Source organism: Homo sapiens, chromosome 2 (genome assembly GCF_000001405.40).
Source record: "Homo sapiens chromosome 2, GRCh38.p14 Primary Assembly".
Lineage (NCBI taxonomy): Eukaryota > Metazoa > Chordata > Mammalia > Primates > Hominidae > Homo > Homo sapiens.
This window is the reverse complement of record NC_000002.12, coordinates 50,620,506-50,635,892: the sequence shown is the minus strand read 5'-3', so window position 1 is coordinate 50,635,892 and position 15,387 is coordinate 50,620,506. Positions and strand designations below refer to the sequence as shown.

Sequence of the window (15,387 nt, the reverse complement as noted above, 5' to 3'; positions counted from 1 at the left end):
AAGAATTTAAGTAGCCTTCATTGTAAATGGAACCTCCCTAAACTGGCCAGTTAACCTTCCTCAGCATTTACTACAGGACCGAAAGACTGACCCTTCAACTACTTCTAACTCCCCACTTCCCACCTCCCTTATCTACCTAAGCAGTGACGGATAGGTCAGCACAGAGTCTTTAAGGCATAGGCTCTGTAAAACATATTGTTAATGAAGAGGTTAGCTTTTTTTACCAAAAGTAATTGAGGGAAGAAACTATAGAATCACATGTAGAGCCTGTGTATGCTGGGAAAGAAATGAAAGCTGGTGTTCTGCATTCCCAATGCATGACTTTGTATGCATCAGACTTGCTGGCCTGCCCTATGCCTTTCTGAGGAGGGAAGAAGAGGACTGGCAGGGTAGAAAGAGGGGACAAGAAGAATTTAATCTGGCTCGGCGCAGTGGCTCACGCCTGTAATCCCAGCACATTGGGAGGCCGAGGCGGGCAGATCACAAGGTCGGGAGCTCAGGAGATCGAGACCATCCTGGCTAACATGGTGAAACCCCGTCTCTACTAAAAATACAGAAAAAAAAAAAAAAAGCTAGGCATGGTGGCGGGCACCTGTAATCCCAGCTACTTGGGAGGCTGAGGCAGGAGAATGGCGTGAACCCGGGAGGTGGAGGTTGCAGTGAGCTGAGATCGCGCCACTGCACTCCAGCCTGGGTGACAGAGCGAGACTCTATCAAAAAAAAAAAAGAAGAATTTAATCTGTACCAGCAACATTCGGTGCAGCCAGAATGCCCACAGGCATCAGTAAAGGAGATATCCCTTTGAGTCTTTGGCTTGAGCCACCTAGCCGGTATTACTCACAAGAAGGCCACTAGCTGGGCCAGGGGATTAGAGCAGCCAGATGCTATGGGGTGTTGTGTGAAGGTTAGAGCTGGGAGATGAGCTGGGGGATGAGACAGATGAATTTCTCTCATGTTGTTGACTGCTGTTGGGAAGTCACATGGAGCACTCATGAGTCTACTGCATGAAGGGCAGCAGAGGTCAGTAAGGGTGAACCAGAGAAGCAGGTACAGCCCACAGAAAGAGGACTATATGAATAACCACTGCTCTTTTCTCTTCCCCTCATCAGCTCCTTCCCAATAAACTGGAAGGGCCAGGTCTTGAGGGGGCGGTGATGGTAAGACACCTAGAGGCATACTACATCTTCCTCCTCCACTTCAACTAAAAATGATGACATGATTAACTTATAAATTAGCCCAAACTTTTAAAAACCAAAAGTGACCACAAATTCAGTGATTCTGCCCAAGATATTAAGAGATGGGGAAAAGAAGTAACTTAATGGTTAAAAGCAGTAGATGAAGAAATATAACATATATACATAAATATTCTGTTTATATTCCACAAATATATCCCATGGATTGACAGTCTTTAAAAAGCTTATTATGCATATATTGTTTAATCCTTACAACTACCCTATAAAATAGATCCTAGTATTATTGTCTTCATTTACTGACAAGAAAACTAAGACTTTAAGGTGATTATTTACCCAACTGCTCATGTGAGTGGGATTTGAACCCAGATATGTATAATTTCATAGCCCGTACTCCTATGTTCTATAACTTCATAAATGTTGGACTCACTGCTGTCACTTCCATGCCTACGCAGAGTTTATTTTCCACACAATAGACAGAGTTATATTTTTGAGATGTAAATCAAACCATGTCATTCCCCTAACTATAAAACTCTAGTAGCTTCCCATTGTGCATCGAATAAAATCAAAGAGTTTGCCCAAAATTTAGAAGGACTTACATGACATAGCCCCATCCCACAGCTCTGATTTCATTGTATTCCCACATTGCCCCAGTGTCACTGTGCTCAATGCTCACTGGATTTTTTCCTATTCTTTCTATTCTTTGTCCAGATCTTCCCACAAGTGGTTCCTCAGCATTAAGATCTCAATTTAATCATCATTGTCTCATAAAGCTTCCCCAATCATCTAAAACAACTTCCCTGCTCAGTTATTGCACACCCTCATTGCACTCTTTTGCTTGCTCAGTTTCACATATAACTCACTTATACTTGACTCACTTATGGTTATCTCTCCATCACTGGTTTGATGAGAGTGGAGACCCTGAGAGCCTTATTTACTGTTGTATTTCTAATATCTAGAATAGGGGATTTGCATGTGTTAAACCTTTGGATTCTATGCTCTTTCTGTGTTGAAATCAAAGATATGCCATAGGTTTTCAGTGTTCCTTCTCTTGTGCTCCTACTGTGAAGAATGGTATGCAACAATTCAAGTGTTCTTATTTTATACTGATTTTAGTGTATACTGACCTACTTCTTTGCATTATTTTAATAACAAAGTAGCATTCCATCTGAAAAAAAAAACAAAACAAAATAAACCAAAAAGCCTTGGTCAAGCCTTCTATGAAGCACACGAATGGATGGAGTTACAAAAGTACATTTCTTCCCATCCAGCATGATTTCTCATTACACTTATCACATATTTATTACCCTCTCCTCTACTTAATGTGCTGGGGATATCAAGATAATTTTAGTTTTTTTTCTTTCTTTTAAAAAACTGTCATTCTTTTTTAAAACATAGGATACTTTGAGTTAGCAGTATATATTTCTTGCATTTCTAAGTGTTACTAACTTTAAAATGTTCCAAGTTCACTTGACTATAGTAAGTGGAAATGTGACAGCCCAGGCCCATTTGTTTTCATTGAATCAGTTTACATCCAGAATGCATGATAGTTTTCAGTTGCAGCAGTGTATGAACAAAGACATTTCTAGGGAGAACCGTAAATGCAGTTGCATGAAACTTGTTAAGTATATTCACCAATAATGATGACTTGTTAGAATATACCAGGAGTTATACACCCTTTACATTTATCCAGAAGAGTGGCACTAAGTTTACAAACCCACAGAGAATTTTATTGTAATATTGCCTAAAGGTGAAACATGTTGAGAATAAAAATTGAGAGATTGCTTCCAATGATTTAAAGCCTGGACTCTCTGCTGGAGTACATATTAAATAGATATTGATACATCTACACACTGATCAGAGCTCTCTGATTCTTTCGCCCGCCACCCAGCCCCGGGCTTTTTATTTCCAATGAAAAGATGCAAAATAATTCATCTGGATGTTAATTCCTTAAGAACAGTGCCATGATATCAATATATATTTTGCCTTTAATACTTATTTCAGATACAAGAGACACAAAATTGTCTTTATAATTCTTAAAAGATGTTCTAAATTGCAGCACTATAAGAATCCATTCATAACAAGACTCTCACACTTTAATGTACACTAGAATCACCTTGGGGATCGGGTTACAATACAGAGTTTGCACCAGTAAGTTGGGGTCGAGGGGGCCTTGAAATTCTAAATTTCTCACAAGCTCCAAGTAATGCTGATGATACTGTCCTTCAAACCACAGTTCGAGAAGGAGGTATAGAGATCATTATTTTGTTAAAGCAATTTCACTTTCACCAACTCTTTCTTCTTCCCTGTGAAAATTCTCCTTTCCTCTGCTCTTGCCTTCCAAGATGCTATCATCTGTGTATATTAAAAAAATACATTCTATAATTTAGAACAGCTTACAAGATGGCCACAATATTTGCATAAATTAAATTATAGATTTTTAGAGTTACAGACCACCCCAGTCTGATTCTAGGGAGAAAGAAGCAATTGGCTATTCTTTGGGGTTTGGTTAAATAGATAAATTGCTCAGAATATATTGCCTTGACCAAGTCGGTAATAAGATGATTTCATAGTTAAATTTATTTACTTCATATCCATTTCATAAATGAGGACTGTTTATAAATACAAAATACCTATACATCTCCTTGAATATAATAACATTATTATAATTTACTTATTTATTAAGTAATCATTAATTGGCACCCAGAAATTTTCAAATTTCTTGCAGAGAATCTTTATAAAGTCCATATTCATGAAGCTACTTTTAATTTTGATTGTGTTAATGATTTTCTTCAGGTTAAAAGATACAGCATCTAGTTCTTATAGATTACATTGTAGGTACTTGAATCTGAGTCAGTCCCAGAAATTGAAATGTTGCACACCTAATGAATTCCAGGATCATTTGTTCATTCCTTTCCCTGTGTGTCTCATTTTATATGTAGAACTGACTAGTCAGTCCAGCCAGACACAGAATGGCCTGTTTGGTTCTCAGCACCTTTGGTTATTTTAACAAATGCAAATCAATTGCACAATAAGATTGGAAAATTATCGTACTAGAGTTTTGGAACATGTCCTATTTTCTTTTGCAGAAATATCCTCAAATTTAAGCTGCATTTAGTTTTTGGTAATGAATTAGAAGCTCATTTTATGGCAATATCTAGAAATTAGGAAGAACCTGAGACTGTTATCAAGAGGGCAAGGATTATATTCTGACTTTTCCTCAGTTAGTTATGTGACCATAGTTTTGTCTGTTGGGCCCTGACACTGTTCATCTAATAAATGAAGGCACTGGACTAAATAATGTCTAAGTCTAACTTACCTTTCATATTTAGTGACTTCAAGTGTATCATCAAGAGTCCTGGGTCTCCTTTTGAATTATTTGATAGAAGCTTGGCAATTTATTTCTGGATTGGTCTCGAGGTTTACCTAAGTGAGATAAGTCTTGAAGAGTGAATATTTTATAAATCTTGATTACTCGCTGCAGAACAAGAGAAGTTAGACTCAGAATTTACATATGTTGAAAAATAGTTGGTAATTTTAGAATATTTTACAACATATATTACGTAGAAAATCTAATGAGTGAACTACTCTCCCTTGAAAGTAATGTGATTTTTACTTGTAATAATCAATTTATTGTTTTAATTTCTCAGTTACACAGTTCGTGGCAAATAAGATAATAGTAAATTTCTTAAGGACTGAGGATTTAATTTGATATGAATTTCAATAAGCAGACATTCCTTTTCTGCTTTTCTAAAGTTGTTTTATCTTATAGCAGAGACAGCCTGGCTTATTTGTTTTAATAATGCAGACTTCTAATGTGTACATCTGCTTGGTCAAGGATGTTTTTGGCACAATATTTTTGTGTATTTGACTTCTAGAATAGAAAAATAAATGAAGCAGGGCTCTCACCCAAATATCTTTTTTCATTCATTTGTTTTTTCATATATTGATTTTAGTTTCTGGTTTATGTTGAACATAATCTTTGAATCATATAACTATAGTAAAACCTTCCAACCTGTGTGATTTGGGATTATATGTATGAAAAGCAATATAATCAAGAATAATAATATTGGCTAGTTTTTTGGCATACAAAAATGACTTGACATTCTTCATGTAACTGGGGACAGTGGGACTTCGTTCTGCCCGCAGGCATCCTTGTCTTTAAGATGTACGGTAATTTCCTTGCAGATTATTTATTTGGTGAAGAAGTTCAGTGAAGTTAGAAGATACAGAGGCATTGGGTCAAATTAATGAGATTATATTCTATGCACTGGTAATGCAAAGGAGCATTGTCCTGAGAATCAATTTTTGTGTGAACTTAGGAAGTCATTTAACCTATCTTTGTTTAACATTTTTTTTCCCGTAAAGTAGAAATCAGTGATTCTTGGTGTTGAAACCAATCCATTTGTTCAATCTACCATCTAAGGATTGAACACCTTCTACAACATCCAATGAAGTGGTTCAGTAATGGTTAACTTTTTTTTCTATAAGAAGTTTGTTTTTATATCAAAAAAATCTTAAAGTTGAGCTTACTCTCAGAAAATTAGATGAGCAAGAACTGTGAATTTTCTTCTAAGTTATAGTGTGTCGGATATGGAATGGGACTGAAATCCCATGGCAGACTCTTAAATATTTTCCTCCAACTGTGTGGCAACATAAAATCAATTGTTGTAGACTATTGGAAAGATGCTTCAAATTTTTAAATATTACTTTTTCCCAATTTTATCATAACATTGCTGTGGCTAGAAATAGAGGCTCTTTTCATCTTGAATCAATCCATTAATCAACACATTTAAGATATGGATCTTCAAACAATTACTACCAAGCAGCGTATATATATATTTTTTAAATCTTGAGAGATTACTCTTAAGAGCAAATGGTAATTAAAGGATATTAATATTCATTGAAAAGTTTTAAAAAGTGACAATTGAAATTATTACTATTGGCTTTATTTTAGCTTTTACTATTAATAGTAGCATTAATAGGAATAGTGTCTTCTCATATCATCTTATTAATCAGGAAGAAAATACTTCATCAGACAAATTCATTTTATGCTTAATCATCCAGATTATTCAAACATTTTATTGAAATATAGTATTTATGCTGATAAATGTAGCATAAATGTCCAGGTAAATTAATTTTTCACACGCTTAGCACACCCATAGGCAACCCTTAAATCAAGAACAACATTAATTGTACCCCAAGAGTTCTCCTCACTACTATCCCCTCTCCATCTCTACCAAGCATAGCCACTGTCTTGATTTACAACAACAGAGGCTAGTTATGCATGTTTTTAAATTTTTTATATAAATGGAATCAGAACTATGTTCTCTTTTGTGTCAGGCATTTTTTTTAGCTAAACATTATTATTGTGAGATTTATCTGTATTTCTGTTGCAGTTGCAGCTCATAGATTCACATTGTTATTTAATATTCTATTGTGTGACTATACTGAAATTTATCCATTCTATTATTGGTTGTTATTTCAGTAGTGTTAAGTTTTAGATAATTTATGCAGGGTAACACTGTAAACATTCTAGTATGCTATTCTGATGATATGTGTATTTTTTGTTGGATATATGCTTATGAGTGGAATTGGTGGATCATAGGGTAGGCCCAAGTTCAGCTTTAAAAGAGAATGCCAAACAATTTCACAAAATAGTTCCTACCAATAATGTATGAGAGTTCTAGTTGCCCCACATCCTCACTGACACTGGATTTTTTTGTATTTTTCATTTTATTCATTCTGTGGAGTGTGCTGTTATTTCATTATGGTTTACTTTGCATTTCTTTGAAGATAGCCTTTTATACTTTAATGTCTGTTCAACTACTTTATCATTTTTTTCCCATTGGCTTGTGTTGCGTTTTTGTTTTTTGTTGTTGTTGTTATTGATTTGTAAGAGGTCTCTTTGTATCCTAGATATAAGTATTTATTGACATTTACGTGGCTTTGGGTCTAATTTCTTTTTCATTTTCGTTGTTTTAGCACATAGTAGAAATGCAAAAGTTATTTGGGACTTGTATTTAAAAATGGACGTAGACTTATTCTTTAAGTGTTCAGCAGAAACACATATGTAAACACTCTGCTGCTTAGTATTTGTTTATAGAATAGCACAAAGCTTACTTACAAAGATTGTAAGGTAGCAAATGATTAGATGAAACATAATATTCTTATATATTGTGAAAAAGTGATTTTTGTATTTTCATGTAGTATATATGTTCTTTCATGAAAAAGAACATAGGAAGAAATATTTTCCCTGCTTAGATTTATGTCCCATTTATGGCATTTTAAGGTAATTGCATATTCCACAGACTGAATTTTTTCCAAAACTATGTGGTTGCCTTTAATGTAAATTTGAATTACTTAAATTTGGAATTAAACAATACAAAAGAAATGATATATTTTCATTTTTAAGTAAGGGGAATATCATAGTGTTAAAAATACATCAACACCCATATAACTTCAAAGTTTATTACATAGTGAATTGCAAACTGTTTATTATTTAACCCCTTGGGTATGCCACATTATCTGGCAAACAAAACCTTTGTTGAGATTTATTCTGAGTTATGCAGATTTGGAATGATACAAGATATCTTGGATAAAATTCTACAGCCTTCTTACTGGACCAAAACTCTTCAAGCTCCAAAACTTTATAATTTAGTTATCTAAGTGGAATCTTTCTTAATATATTACCTGCTCTTTTAAACTAAGTAGACTAAAACACAGTTATTATTTTCTTACTAAGACATATCTTCACAAACAGTTTTTTTTCTCTTTTTTTCTTTCTTTCACAATGCTATATATCACTTCTGTCTGACACACAGGTGTTGTGGCATGTTAGACAGTATCTGGATTAGTAGTCTGAATCCTAGTCCCACTTCTGTTACTGTCACATTTTATGAATTTGAGGGTCATATAAACTCCATGAGCCTCGCTTTCTTAATAATGTAAATTAATGGGTTGGGCTGCAGGATTGTCTTTAAGGCTCCTGCTGACTCAGAGATCTACTTATTCAGTGGGAATGTAAAATTTTGCAAATACCATATTCAGATAAGTGGATCTCTCGTGTGTGTGTGTGTGTGTGTGTCTGTGTCTGACAAAAGCTTTCATAGATTGCCTCTCTAAATTAAATCCTTCATCATGTAGAATTGATTCTGGGAAACAAAAGGATGTAAAGATCCAATTTCATTTTTCTCTTATAGATAACCAATAGTCCCAGCAACCTTTAGTGACCTCTGTATCTTTTGCTAACTTACCTGCAATGCCAGACAATATAAATTGTTTTCATATATAATTATTAGTATGCGCACACACACACACACACACACACACACACACACACACATACATGAACCAGAACCCACTTGACTACCTATCATCAAATGAGCAGAACAATAAGCAATGACAAATGAGTTGAAGGAATTGGCAAATGTTTAGTTAACTGATCCTGGTTAACTATTTTCTAAGGACTGAGACCCAAGTTCTTTGTAATATGTGAAATTCCCATGGGATTGCATAATGCCAAAAGAAACTTATTACAGTTGGTCAATTTTTATCTTATCAGCATCAGCAGTATATAAGAATGACTTTCGGTAGCCTTGGCAAAATGTGGAATTATTCTCTTTTCTTTTCGTTTTATGTCAATTTCATGGCTATGAAATGGTATCTGAATGTAGTTTGATTTTTACCATTTCCTGAATACTAATAGGAATGAATATCTGTTCATTATTCATAAGCAATACATATCTGTTTTTCCATGAAATTACATTTCTTTTGTGTGTGTTCTTCATTGGTTGTCTTTATTTTTGTATTGATTCGCTGAGGTGCTTGGCATATTCTGGATTATAATCCTTTGTTGATTAATAGGAAGTGAAAATATTTTCTCCAAAATTGTTATTTAACTTCTTACTCTATGGTATTATTGATGACCCAGCATTGTTAATTTTAATGTAGATGAGTGTATCAATATTTATTAGTGCCTTTATGCTAATTTTAGAAGTCCTTCCATTCTTCCATATCAAACTTTATTGTCTGACAAGTTTTCACAGATTGCCTCTCTAAATTAAATCGGGCATCCATGTAGAATTGATTTTTGTGAACAAAGGATGTAAAGATCCAATTTCACTTTTTTCTTATGAATAACTGATTGTCCCAGTAACCTTTATTGACTAATCTATCTTTTGCACACTTATCTGAAATGCTTGACAGTGTAAATTGTTTTCATATATGCTTAAGAATATTTTAAGTTTGATTATCGTTATTCTCCTCATTTTACCTATCCTAATGCATTTTCTTCAGCACTATAATTTTGTAATAAATGTCCATCTTTACGCAGGCAACTTACTTCATCTTCTTTCTCTGGCATATCATGGCTATTTGGGACTCTTTTTTTTTCTCATAGATTGTGAAGAATCAGCTTTTTACCTGTTTTTTTAAATTTTTTGAGATTTTGATTAGGATTTCATTGAATCTATGAATCTATTTACATATGTTGAAACATTGATTGTCTCTAGTACACAGAACTCTAAATTCTTTCCAAAGTCTCTTATTAAGCCAAATAATTTCTGTAGATTATTTTAGTGTTTCAATTTGTGCAATATATTTGCTTATATCACATGATTTTCTTCATTTATAATCTTTACAATGTTCATATACTTTTCTTGTCTTCCTGCATTAGCTACAATGTCAAGTGTAGCATTGAATATAAATGTTGACAGTGGGAATCCTTGTCCTGTTTTTTATCTTAAAGAGAAAATTCTAGATTTCATAATAACATACGATTTATGTTGTTTGTTTTAGATGATTTATCACATTTATCACATTAATTAGGCAAGCAGGAAGACATTGACTATTTATCACCAGCGTATCAACTTTACCAGATGTCTGCACAGACATTATCTCATTGTATCTTCACATTCATTCTGAAAGATTGGTATCTCTAACCATTTTCAGAAACCAAAATTTGAAAAGCAAATAATTGTTCTAGTGACAGCTAGTGGCCAACCTACAATCCAAACTCATATTTTGACCCACATTTTCCTCTCAGTATAATAGTAATATATAGTTGTACTTGTGCCCAATATTGAACCACTTGCCATGTTGGACTGACCAGGGGAGCAGACACCTGGACTATAACTTTCCGAGACAGGAATTAAGTCCATTGTGTTCACTTCATTATCTCTAATAACTGGTACTGGGCTTAACACTTGGGAGGTGCTCAGCCAATATTCTGAGCGTTTGAATGGGAGGGATTCACTATTACAGATTGGGAGGTCTTTCCTATGACTTACTCAGAATTATTTGGTCTGACTGATAGTCTTGGCTAATAATTTGCTAGTAGTCAATGACTAATATTCCAGGGCTCAATTCCTGGTGAATACCTGTAGGTGCTCACCGTGATATTTATTGCTATGGTTTGACTACCTGTAGCCACTGATGGCCATTTTCTACATCCAGGAAGGCAGATCATCTGGCACTGATGCGTTGAAAGCGATTTGAGCTCTGATTCCAGGACGTGAGTTATTTGACAATCAAATGAAAATAGTCCTGAGATTAAAAACCTATTACAGGGGAGAATGCAACACCTGCTGATGTATCAACCCTCTCGGGGGCATAATAGTGATAGTATGTCGCCAGTGGGACAGATTAAGTTTCTCCAGTACCGTTTATAATTATATGTTTATAGTTTATCAGAAGCTGATTCCCAACCATGCTGTCTCATTTTTCTTGGCACAGCATCATTACTGCCTAGAAAGTCAAGGGGTCTTATGGCTTACATTCTTCCTTTGGTTCAACTCACCTCATCAGTGGGAGAAGACTGTTCCTTCCAAATATCCACCTTTCTGTTTGATCTGTCTAGCATCTCGTGAGAGCCGCCTTGTTACTCCTAAATCTGGTAAAGAATAAGATACGTAGAAAATGTTGAGACTTCATTTACATGCTATCCCCATGACGATGTGCTAGAATTCTTACCAGTGTCATAACAGCCAGCCCTACCATCTGCTTAACTACACCAGGGAATAGATCAGTAATCCAGCTGACTCCATTAGACTTTCTATCACTACTCCCTCCATCCAGAGATAAAAAATGCACATGCTCTGTAGGAGGTCTGTTTACTCCCAGACCAGATTCTATCTTTTTTTCTTCCCTTTCTCCTTACCAGATAATTTTCTATGGTCTCTCAATGATAAAACTGTTTGTCTCTTCATTGAAAAAGATCTTTGAACATAAATGTTTCACTGAAAATTAAAATAATGCCTCAGTTGGATGGAGAGAATGTTGAAAACATCTTGGAATCCATTGTTGTCAGCAGAGTGGAACCATCCAATATGCATTTATGGTACCTGATTCATGCCCTGGAGATATCACAGAACTACTTTCTCTGATCAGAGCTCTTGCAGTGATACTGAAAAATTAATTGAATTTTCAAGAATGTCAGCTTTAGCTACTGCAGTTGATGGCCCAATAGTTGAGATTTATTAAAAACATACTGCCACCTAGTATTCCATGGTGTATATGTGCCACATTTTCTTAATCCAGTCTATCATTGTTGGACATTTGGGTTGGTTCCAAGTCTTTGCTATTGTGAATAGTGCGGCAATAAACATACGTGTGATGAAGCTGGAAACCATCATTCTCAGCAAACTATCTCAAGGACAAAAAACCAAACACCACATGTTCTCACTCATAGGTGGGAATTGAACAATGAGAACACATGAACACAGGAAGGGGAACATCACACACACCGGGGACTGTTGTGGGGTTGGGGGAGGGGAGAGGGATAGCATTAGGATGAGTTATGCTAAATGACGAGTTAATGGGTGCAGCACACCAACATGGCACATGTATACATATGTAACAAACCTGCACATTGTGCACATGTACCCTAAAACTTAAAGTATAATAATAATAAAATTTTTTAAAAAATACTGCCCTGTACAGTACTGTTTGACTGAGACAGAGTTCATGTCATGAAATCTAATTAAGCAGGTTAATTTGGGGAGTGATTAGCTATTGTTTCTGTTAAGACCTGCTGATTTGCATAGTGTATTTGTTTACTTATGTATGTATCATCTGTTTTCCTCTAGGAAAAGAAGAATATATTGCCACGTTCAAAGGATCTGAATACTTCTGCTACGACTTGTCTCAAAACCCCATTCAAAGCAGCAGTGATGAAATAACTCTGTCATTTAAAACCCTTCAGAGGAATGGACTGATGCTTCACACTGGGAAATCGGCTGATTATGTCAATCTTGCCCTGAAAAATGGAGCTGTCTCTCTGGTCATTAATTTGGGATCAGGGGCCTTTGAAGCACTAGTGGAGCCTGTGAATGGAAAGTTTAATGATAATGCCTGGCATGATGTGAAAGTCACCAGGAATCTGCGTCAGGTAACAGCGCAGTGGATAAGAGAGTAACTGGCTTTGTTTCTCGCTATAGCTGTGTGTGTGGTACTTAAATACTCTAACAACATGATACAGGGCTCCTCAGAGTCACTTGCAAATTAGCTTTTTCTTCTTCTGAGATGAATCTTCCTGCCATACTTGAGCAGGGGCATATCTAGAAAGTTCTGGGAGCCCAAAGGCTATTTTGATACAGGGCCATATGAAAATTTCCAAAAGGGCTGCAAGGATATCCCTGCGACCTGCCCTTCCTGTGATGTGTGTGATTTTGTTGTGTTTTTGGTTTTTTTGTTTGTTTAATTTTAAATTGTAGTTTTCATGGTGATCATTTGGAAGCATGCACATTGGGGTCATTAAGTCACAGTTCCTTTTTTGTAGTCGAAAAAATAGTGTTTGTGATTTGGGATTGTATCAGTCCCTACTCCCTCCTCCTCCCAACCCCAAAATGGGGACAAGAGAAGTCCCTGAGGGGAAAAATTTCTTTAGGGGCTTACATATCTCCTGAAGGGTCTGTTTTTGAAGATACTTTTATTTTTAGCATAGATGCTTTAAGTTAAACCCCAAATGACTCTGGAAAGGCCAGTTAATCTTCTAGGTGCCCATTTCTATTTAATTGTATTTTTTTAAAAAAACTTTTTCAAGATGCTATATACTAGGAAAATATCAACTATTTACTAAATCTGTGGGTCTACATATACTGTATGTTTTTAATGAATACGTGATTACAGTATATATACGAATGAAAATGAATAGATTGTCCTTTTATATTGAACATTATAAGTTTTGGGTATTATGTGAAACTTTATATTACAGTGTATCATTTTGTTAAGTGTTGACAGTGACTAATTTTATTGCCGTACATGCTGATCTTAAACTAATATCCTTAACATATTTGTTGTTTCTCTGAACAGTTGCAGAATGACCGGATTGTCTCTGGTTTTCCTTTACCAAAACAGCCCTCTCTTTCAGAGCTGTTAACTGTCTAACCTTTTCTTTCCTGTTCTGAAAGGTTTATACTATCTGAGCTAGAGAAAGAAAAAGGAGCTTTAGGAGTGTAGATTTAGTCTAGCTAAGGCAAACAAATAAAACTGAAAGATTCTTGAGAACCCCAGACCTTCCAGATCCCTCATTGACATGGGAGGGGCCCTGCATGCTTCCACCTGCCTTTGGAGAGGATTGGCCACCATCAGTATAACTGTAGACCATGGATTTCCTATAAGTCTGTCTCTTTGGTTTTCCTTTTTTAATTTTTTCTCTCAGATATGCACAAAGAAACCAGAGGCTCATTTGAGAGAAGCACAGAAGGAAGGGTGGGGGCTCAAGGAGTCCACTTTCTAGATTTGCCTTTGCTCAGGTTACAAACCAAACTGCGAATTGGTAGCTCAAAGGAAACTGTAGTTATACAGCCGGGGTGCATGTGTAGCAGGACAGATTAAACACAAATCCATTCTACTCATTCTATGTGTCAGGATCTTTGCTTTGTTTCATTGCAGTAAACTGTGACCCTAAAGTCCATCAATATGACCGAAGGAAGTTTTGAAGTTGAGGAGGAGTCCTTGTATGCTGTAAAATTGAGTAGTAGGGCAATGCCAACTGATTCCTACTAATTTCCTGGGGCTGGGGTGGGCCAGGGTGGAGGAGGGGTCAAGTATGGGCATAGGGCTGCAGTGGTCAGCTGAAACGCTTTAGGCCTTTGAATCCCTTTTAGACTTTTCCAATGTCTCTCAGATGTACTCAGGAAGACAAAGGGAACATTGTCATGTGTCTGTTTCTGTCTAGTAGCAAATTATGAACAATAATAGCAGGAAAAATATTACCTCTGTGGGAGGCCTACTTGTTAGTCTGCTTTTTTCTTGTAAAATTTTTTTGCCCTTTTTCTATGTTACTAACATGCTTAATAACTAACATGTCATTCATGGAATGTTTCATTCTACTAACCGTTACCTGAATCAAAAAATGTACTAACATGGTAGAGACCATCATATTTTTTAAGTAACGATCGTTATTCTGTTCACAGTTTTTAATTTCCTTTCTCCCCCCTTCTCCACAAAGCACTCAGGCATTGGACACGCTATGGTAAACAAACTACATTGTTCGGTAGATATCATTCTAATTGTTTCTTATTTTGGGTTTGCCGTGTGTTTTCTTTCTTTCTTTTAACTGTAGACATCATTAACAAAAGAGGAACTGCGGTTGGTACTCTTCTGCTTACTTTGACCTCCTTCTTTTCATCTGTTGTTGACCTTCTTATTTTTTACCTGTTCCTGTCAACTTCTGTTTTCCAACTCACCTGTAGGGGCATCGTTAACGTTTCGAACGTTTTGCATCCAGCTGTGGTTAACACGGGATAAGACAAAATGGTGGCTGGCCCGAGTGACCGCAGCTCAGCCAGTCTCTAACCATTCATGATGCATGGCATGGAAACTTGATTTGGGAATGCTGGAGATGCCACACCCACTCATCTTTACGTCATCACAAAGCAGTTGTTTTTATTTTTATGTTTTTCCTTTGGTTCTCCCTGTTTTCTTTCTTTCCTTTTCTGAACTGTACTGTACCTCCTGCATGTGCACATCAGCGTGTGCCGCTTCTACTGGTTGTTTTGCCTTTTCTCTCCCTTTGGCATGGACTTAGGCACTTGCATGCTGAACAATTGCTGCTCAATAGTGCAAATAGTGATGTTGCTGGAAATAGCTTGCGCCTTTTATGTTAACAAGGTGCACGTTGTGATTAGTTAATAACAGACAACTAAACCTTACTAATATGTACACCAGCAAAACTAACCTAGGAAGCATTTTA

At 36.0% G+C, this 15,387-nt stretch overlaps 1 protein-coding gene and 1 long non-coding RNA gene across 18 annotated transcripts in view; one reads left to right on the top strand and one right to left on the bottom strand.

Moving 5' to 3' along the window:
- Window positions 1-15,387, top strand: part of NRXN1 (neurexin 1) — a 1,113,630-nt gene that overhangs the window by 396,240 nt on the left and 702,003 nt on the right. For 6 of the 15 annotated variants that reach the window (NM_001330093.2, NM_001330094.2, NM_001330085.2 and 3 more), the window contains 2 exons: window positions 12,278-12,579; window positions 14,644-14,667. In NM_001330093.2, coding sequence (NP_001317022.1) covers window positions 12,278-12,579; window positions 14,644-14,667 — 326 coding nt within the window. Of the gene's footprint in view, window positions 1-12,277; window positions 12,580-14,643; window positions 14,689-15,387 lie in introns of all 15 variants that reach the window. The other 9 variants (NM_001330096.2, NM_001330087.2, NM_001330088.2 and 6 more) reach the window with 2 other exon arrangements.
- Window positions 3,161-14,969, bottom strand: LOC101927089 (uncharacterized). Of its 3 annotated transcripts, none has more exons than XR_245002.5 (4): window positions 14,882-14,969; window positions 10,990-11,082; window positions 4,510-4,616; window positions 3,161-3,545 (listed from the first exon to the last, which is right to left on the bottom strand). It is a non-coding gene; the product is annotated as an uncharacterized LOC101927089 (long non-coding RNA). The 3 variants fall into 3 exon arrangements; XR_940083.2 differs by having other exon boundaries at window positions 4,510-4,631; window positions 14,804-14,911; XR_245001.4 differs by having other exon boundaries at window positions 14,804-14,910.